Here is an 8,593-nt window from a genome sequence, read left to right as displayed (position 1 = left end):
GATCTGGGGGAGTTGTCCCTGAAACTTGTTCAAGAGGTAGTGTGCTAGTAAAGCCCACAACTTGAGTACAAGAATTTCTTGTGTTTCTTAAGTGTCTTCTTAAGGTACGTGTTGTGCATGCCCTGTGGTTTTGGGAGAGACGTTCCCAGATCCTGAGACAGTTGACACCCTTCTTGCATTGTAAAGACTAGGCCTGCCTTGTGGTAAGTTGGGCCCTGGCAGGATGTTCCCAGGGTCCAGAGAAGCCATTAGGGCCCCATTTTGAGGGGGGTAGGGTCAAGCTCTGCAACTTGACAAAGCCTCATCCTTCAGAAGGAAGTTCTGGCTCCTAAGGCAATATGACTCCCATGTGAGAAAGTCTGGTTTGCTTTTTTTTTTTTTTTTTCTTTTTTGAGATGGAGTCTTGCTCTGTCACCCAGGTTGGAGTGCAGTGGTGCGATCTTGGCTCACTGCAACCTCTGCCTTCCGGGTTCAAGCGATTCTCCTGCCTCAGCCTCCTGAGTAGCTGGGATTACAGGCATGTGCCACCCCACCCGACTAATTTCTTGTGTGTGTAATTTTAGTAGAGACGGGGTTTCACCACGTTGGTCAGGCTGGTCTCGAACTCCTGACCTTACGATCCGCCCACCTCGGCCTCCCAAAGTGCTGGGATTACAGGTGTGAGCCACTGCACCTGGCCTGGTCTGCTTTATTGCCTGTCTCTGCCCTGCAGGAGTCAGGGTGTGGGGATGTGAGAGAAGCTCCAGGAGGCAGTGCTGCCGAGGGGGCTGCATGGGAAGCTTGAGATCTCACGCAGGGCCAGACATTCTAGTTTCTGCTCACCTGCCGGGTTCCTCAGTCTCCAGGACAGGTTAGGATATCAGGTTCTATCTCTCACCAGGTTCAGGGAGACAACTCTGGTCCTCAGGTGGAGCATGGAAAGCCCACCTTAGCTTAGAGCTTTCTTTCAGGCTGTTATTTGTCCACTTAAATCCAGGTAAGCAAAGTGTTCCCTTGCCTCCTCCCGTTACCACTTTCACTGGACCATCAGTTGCACTGTCACCATGGTATCTAATCCCAGTCCCTTGCACTGCAGCCCCGCCCTGATGCTCCTCTACGTCCTTAGTGGCCTCGGATTTTCTCAGACTGAGTTCCATAGAACCCAACATATATTTTTCTTCTTTTTTTAACTTTTAAAATTCAGGGGTGCAAGTGTAAGTTTGTTACATAGGTAAACTTGTGTCATGGGTTTTGTTGTGCAGATCATTTCATCACCCAGCTATTAAGCCTAGTACCCATTAGTTATTTTTCCTGATCCCTCCCTCCTCCCACCCTTCACCCTCTAAAAGGCCCCAGTGTGGGGAACCCAACGTATCTTCTCATGGAAAAAGGGTGGAGGAAAGAAGAACCACAAAGTTGAGTCAAGGGATGGATAATCATACTGGTTATAGAACAAATTAAGTTCCATCAACCAGATGCCTAGAGCTCTTGTGGACCAGAGCTGGAGAAAGAGGTGTCAGAAGCCATGAGCAGATGGAAAAATGTACTAGACAGACTGGGAGGAATGAAATGTTTTGGAGAGTTTGGGGTCTGAGCTTAAAAAGTGGCTTCTGGAAATGGATCATGAAACAGGAGCTTTGAGCATCTGTCAGTGAATGGAGTAGAAAATAGCCATTCTATTAATATGTTTCCTTCCTCCTGGCTTACATATTTCCTAGGGTGGAGGGAACACAGAGGCTGTACTGTAGTTGGAAGGATTTGGTGTAGAGAACACGAATTACTTCCTCTGGCACAAGTGATTAGTAAAAACATACCCCAATGTCTCCTTGTGCCTGGGCTGATGAAGGGACATTATATCCAGAGGAGAGGGCTGTTAGAAGAGTATGGCCTTTAGTCAGATGAATTTAGATTCAAATCCTAGCTCTTTTGTTTACCAGCTGTGTGACCTAGAGTAAGTTTATTAACCTCTCAGGAACAAAATTCTTTGATCTGTCATATGGCAATGTTAGCAAACAAACTAGACTGTTAGGGAATTCATAGTTCACTATATGCTGAATCCTCAGAAAAGTGCCTCCCACAGAGAGGGCATTTGGCAAATGCTCTAGCATCCTAAGCCCTAGCATCACCCTCACTCATCTAAAATCTCTGTACAATTGCTGGTTGCCTCTCACAGGCCCCATTTGTATCCTGCAGGGACACAGCCAGATGGAGGCAGGAGATGGGGCTGGATCCTGCACTGCCAGCTTTCAGTCAGAACTTGCTGATCTCTGGGTCTGGGTCCTTTGTCCTGCTGGGGATGCCGGGACTGGAGGCTCTGCATGCCTGGCTCTCTGTGCTTGTGTGCCTGCTCTACATGGCAGCTTTGGTAGGGAATGCCCTTCTAGTGGGGCTGGTGGTCACTGACAAGGCACTCTGGGCACCCATGTACCAGCTGCTGTGGCTTCTGGCAGCTGCTGATTTTGTTCTGGCCACATCCACAGTGCCCAAAGCTCTGGCTGTACTTTGGGGCTTGTCTAGTGAGATATCATTTGGAGGCTGCTTGGCTCAACTCTTTGTTGCCCATGTGTCAATCATTGCCACATTGCTGAGTCCTCAGTGCTGCTGTCCACGGCCGTAGACTGCCAGCCTTTGCGCTATGGGGCGTTGCTGGCCCAGTTTGTGGTAGGTCTAGTGGCTCTGACTACCATGACCCGTGATGTCTGTGTCATGTACACCCTGTGATCCTGTTCAAGAAACTGCCTTACTGTGGACAGTGGGCCCTGCCCCACACCTACTGCGAACACATGGGTGTGGCTTGCCTGGCATGTGGAGATACGTGCCCCATCATCAGGTATGGACTGGCCACCACACTGCTCTCCCCAGCCCTGGACCTAGGGCTCATAGGTGCTTCCTATGCCCTCATTTTCCGTGCTGTCTGCCGTCTGCCATCCCATGTTGCCTGCCACAAGGCTCTGGGTAACTGCGGGACCTATGCTAGCATCATTGGTCTCTTCTACACACCTGCCCTCTTCTCCTTCCTTGCTCACTGTTTTGGGTGTCACACAGTGCCCAACCATATTCACATCCTACTGGCTAACCTCTACGCAGTGGTGTTCCCAGCTTTCAATCCTGTGGTCTATGGAGTGCAGACTCAGCAGAGCTCAGAGGCTCAGGAACTTGCTTCAACTTTTCTGGGCAGGAGCAGTGAAGAAGGTTGGCCCTGAGAGGGCCTCCCCACAGGAATAAATGTGATCCCTATTTTCTTCAGCGTGCCTGCCCAGATGACCAAGTGATGCTGCAGGACCCATCTGGGTAGAGCTCTGACTAAAGCATCTCCATTGTCTGCCGTCAGGTGGCCCTATGCTCACTCCAGCCCTATTTTATCACCCATTATGTAGGCAGAATATACTGAACTGACCTCTCTCTGCCCAGCTCTACAGTGCCCACTCTATGCCTGATGTTTCTAAGTCTGTATTGATCCCCATAGAGGGATTACACACGTATAGAAGTGGTTGGTCCTAGACTGTGACAGTCTAGGAGGTCTAGGACACGTCCTGAGGACTAGGATCTTATCTTTTCTCCATCAGTTTATCCAGCCAAAACAAGATGAATGAAACATGTCTCTGAGTTGGGTCCCTTGTACAATGTCTGACACTAAGCAGGAACTCTATTTGCTAAGGGGATGAAGTCAGGAGGAGCTGGGGAAATGGCATGATGTGAATAAAATAGAGCACAGCTCTGGAAATGGACATGGTTTCTGACCTTGGTGATAATACCTAGAGCTTGGAAGACCTGTTGGCTTTGGATGGGAAGAGAGTGCACAATACTGTGGCTTCCTCCCTAAGCTCTTTCCCTACGTTAATCAGATACTAAGGCTACTCTTGTGTTTTTCAACTTGTGCTAATGGCTATTTGTAGACGGCAAAATATGGGGACGACAACTCCAGCAGCAGTTGTTATGCTTCATGCTCTATCTTCATGCTCTTTCGTTTTTCCTTTCCTACATTCCTTCTTCCATAAGATGCCTTAGTTCTACTGTCACTCATCTGGATATTGATCCCAGACAGGTTTCTTGCTTCATGCAGCTTAGGTTTCCCAACCTATTCCTCTCTTATCATCCTAACTTCTGTGCTCCTCTGGACCCAATGGCTAAGGCAAGGCCAGGCTAGAGAAGCTAATGAAGAATGGATCTCTGGCCTTGAGCATGGAGTAAGAGGGTGAGAATCTGTAAAGTAAGAAAAGGATATGACCTCTCAGCAAGGATTGTCCAACAAAGCTCTGGGCATGTCTTCCTGGAGTTGTACATCCACAAAACTTCTCAAATCTTTTCCCAGAAGGGAAGTCGCAGTTTCATATACCTTTCTCTACTAGGTATATGCCAGGGCAAGGATTCTAAAGGATGAGATGAGTAAGCAGAGGATCTTTATACTAAGCAGCCTATAATCTAAAGTTAAGGGTCTGTGAAAGATAAAGAAACAATAAAGGATAGAGGTAGTAGAGCTACAGAGACAAAATTCCTCAATGGAAAAATGGGGCAACACACTCTTCATAGGAAATCTGACATTCTCCTAGGCACTTGGGCAAATGTGAGAATCCCCACTGTCTGAGAAATACTCAAGAGAGATAGCAGAAGAAAAGAGAATACTTTTGGGTGGCTGGCACTAAGAGCACTGAGCTTTGCGACTCCTTCTCCAGGCTCAGGAACTACACTCTTCCTTTTCTATAGGGATAACGGCAGTTCAGAGGCCAGAAGACTTGAGGCTCCACAGCATCATGTGGCAGGTTAGGAAATATTGGGAGGGAGCTTTCTTGACGGACAGGCAGTAGAGGCAGCTGGCATTAAGACCAGAGGAACTGGGGGAAGCATTTAAATAGTGGAATGGATGTAATAGTTTACAGTACCTGGCATAGTGCAGGAGGCAAACTCCTCGGGGTGAAGGAAGATATATAACAGAGGAGTCCAGTACAGTGTCGCTGAAGTGATCCCCCCAGATATACACTTTGGCCCTCATCCAAGTGCACCCTGTTAAGTAAATGCTTCTGTTCTTGAGATTGAACAGATAGAATTGCATTTCCTTCTTGAGCCTTCCCTTTGTCAAAGTTGAGGGAAACACCATAATCACTCCTGAAAGGGACCCATCCCAGGGCCCCTGCAGGATGTTTCAGGTTTACCTTAATCTGTTTAGACAAGGGGGCCCAGCAGGGTGGAGGAAGATCTAAGCCTAGGGATGGATGCGGAAGATCTAAGCCTAGGGATGGATGCGGAAGACCCTGTTTATCATAATAAACTCACTACCACCATGTTTAGAGGCACCAGTCTGTCTCAACCCTCTTCTCCACCTTTCCATACCCTCTCCACACCCCCTTCATCCTCTCGGCCCTTTCAAATGTCAAAATGTATATCCCTCCTACTGAGACTATTTACTTACACAGAAATAAAAGCCCAGGGGAGCCCCAAGTACTTACTGCGCTCTTGTAGTTGATGCAAGATGCCACCTGTTGCAGCTCTTCTGACCACTCTACAGCTGCTGCCCCTGGTGCTCCCAGGAAGAGTCTCGGGTACAGGCAGAGGTTGGAGGGATCACAGCAGCAGGTGGAGATTGTTTTGTGCTTTGGGCTGGCTTCCTTCACCACTCTGATTCTGTTCAAGAACCTCCAGGTTTTGGGAGAGAGTGAGGGTAGACAGAAACAGGGAGGAAGAAAAGAAAGATGGGATAGCCTGCATGTTCTGATTTTCCCTTTGCTTGTATGTATGGGTACAGGGGGAGCGAGGAAAGACAAAGGTGAAGGCAATAGAGGAAGGAACTCTGGGCTGTATTCCCTGCTCAGTTATGAGGCACTGTTTTCTGCAATAATCTGCCACCTTCTTCCTGTGCTCAGGGTGTAGGAGCTCATGGTGGCTATAAAAGGCTATGCAATCTTTATTTTATTATCCTTCAAAAGTAAACTATTGGGCTGGAGTTGCAAGCTGAAGGCATAACCAGATTAAGCTATGATGCCAAAGCCAGAAAAGCTATGAGTGAGACATCTCAGAGAAGGACAGGGGCCACAGACATTTTTATTCAAAAAGATTTTGTAAGGAAACCTTAGTGGGTGTTGCATGCACAATAAAAAAATTGGGAAGGAGTCTTGATTGAATCTAGTGCTGGTTTATCCAGCTCCAAAATCGGACTAAGAGATGGATTTAGAGAAATATAACTAATATAAAGACTCTTAACAGAGGCAGGCCAGGCACTGCTCTAAGTACTTTACAAATATTCTATCTATCTATCTATCTATCTATCTATCTATCTATCTATCTATCTGTCTATCTATCTATCATCTATCATCTCTATAACTCTATCTATAATTCTTAAAACAATAAGATAAACACCACATTTTCCCCCATTATACATATTAAGACGATGGGGCACAGAGAAATTAAGTAATTTGCCCAATGTCCCAGAGTCAGGATTAGAACTCAGGAAATATGGCTATGGGATCAGTGGGTTTGGGCTCTGAGTATGGAAGTAATATGATAGGCATATGACAGGGGAGAAGAGATCAAATTATGCATCTCTCTAGAAACTTTCCCTCTCTCTCTATCTAGCTGAGGCAAGGGAGTTGCCTCCCAGCCTTACCCTTTTGTCCTGTGCTGCATGTCTACCCCAACATAACTTGGATCTCTGCTACTTCCTTAGTTGCCAGAGCATAGGATCTAGAACAAAGATGGGACCTGGGGGAAGCTCGAAGCATTGTCACTTATTAGTCATGTAACTTAGCAAAATATTTTTAGACTCTCAGACCCTCATGTTTTTCAACTATAAAATGTGGATTACAATTCACCCTCTGTTATGTCTTGTGAATGCTAAATATCCAACCATACTGGTGCATTATGGTATTGTTACTGCTAATGTTCCTTTGATGAGTTGCAACTCTCTGTCCCTGCTGTCTTCAATACAAGGTAAAGTTGTAGGAATCTGCCAGATCTCTAGAGTGGGGATACTGTAGACAACTGAGGCTTCCTAAGCCTATCCCCTAACACATCTCTGTAGACCAGCTTTGCTCTCTCCCACAGGGCCTTGAAGAAAAATCAGCTTCCAGTAATGTGAACTGCAGCCAGATCCAGCCAGTGCATGAGGTAGGGTGAGGTAGGCCCCATCAGTAGGTTCTGGAAGGGACCCGCAGCTTCAATTCTGGGAAATCAAGAGAAACATAACTCAATCCCCTAACAGAGGGATGCCCTAACAGACAGTCAAGAAGAAACCCCTGGGCAGAGGCAATGCTTCTCTGGCACTCCAAAGTAGGCTCAGCCTCTTCTCTTGCTTCATGTTTGCGAACAGTCCAGGGTGCTCCAACATGCTTCATTATGTTTACTGTGCCTGTGGCCATGGTTTGCAGCTGGTGAGAAGTGTGTCAAGCTCTGTGGATGAAGGAGGCACATGCCATTGTATGGTTCACCTACCCAACAACCCCATCCCCCTGGAGCAGCTGGAACAGCTACAAAGTACAGCTCAGGAGCTCATTTGCAAGTATGAGCAGAAGCTGTCTAGAGTGAGTGCTTGATCTGTGGGCTGGAGCTGGGGCTAGGAGTTATTCAAGCATAGTCTCTACTGGACACAGCATGGAGATGAGTCCTGGAAGTAGAAAATGTTTGAAGGAAGTGGCACAGCCCTCATCTTTGAGATGAATCTTTAGAATGAAGGGGTAATTCTGTACTATCCTTGGGATCTCCAGTGATAGTAACAGACTATAGAGAGGCTTGTGTAGGGGGTGCCTCCCATAGTAATGGATGAATTAATGGGTATGGTTCCACTGGAAGATGCAAACAGGGCAATTTTGGCCTGGGAGGATGCAACTGAATGGGAGAAGCCACAGGTGTTGACATTTGGAGCAACTTCCTGTTCATCCCCTGCATGCTGATGTCAGTGAGTGTGCACGCGCCATTGAAGATAAAGACAATGAGGTTCTGGAAATGAGTCACATGCTGAAGTCCTGGAATCCCAGTGCCCTTGCTTCTCCCTATGAGAACCCAGGCTTCAACCTGCTGTGCCTGGAGCTGGAGGGAGCACAGGAGTTGGTGACTCAACTTAAAGCCATGGGAGGTGTTAGTGTGGCTGGGGACCTCCTCCACCAACTTCAGAGCCAGGTATGTGGATGGATTAAAGAATACTCCTCCCTAGGCTGAGTGCGGTGGCTCACACCTGTAATTCCAGCACTTTGGGAGGCTGAGGCAGGTGGGTCACCTGGGATCAGGAGTTCGAGACCAGCCTGGCTAACATGGTGAAACTCCGTCTCTACTAAAAATACAAAAATTAGCCAAGTGTGGTGGTGGGCACCTGTAATCCCAGCTACTTGGGAGGCTGAGGCAAGAGAATTGCTTGAACCCAGGAGATGGAGGTTGAAGTGAGCTGAGATCATGCCACTGCACTCCGGCCTGGGCAACAGAGCAAGACTCTGTCTCAAAAAAAAAAAAAAAAAAAAAAAAAATATATATATATATATATATATGATCTCCCTCCCTGTCACAGCCTCCTGTCTTCTCTAACCTCATGTATTGGACAATTTCCAACATTACTTCTTTCTGGGGAAGAAAACTCTGAGTTGAGGAATATGACAGCCAGAGTTCAGTTTTTAAGAACACTCTGCAACCCACT

General features: G+C 47.2%; 1 pseudogene; it reads left to right on the top strand.

Annotated features, from left to right (window-relative positions):
• On the top strand, window positions 2,276–3,179 carry OR52V1P (olfactory receptor family 52 subfamily V member 1 pseudogene; annotated as a pseudogene).

Source organism: Homo sapiens, chromosome 11 (assembly GCF_000001405.40).
Source record: "Homo sapiens chromosome 11, GRCh38.p14 Primary Assembly".
Classification (NCBI taxonomy): domain Eukaryota; kingdom Metazoa; phylum Chordata; class Mammalia; order Primates; family Hominidae; genus Homo; species Homo sapiens.
This window is presented reverse-complemented; position numbering and strand designations above follow the sequence as displayed.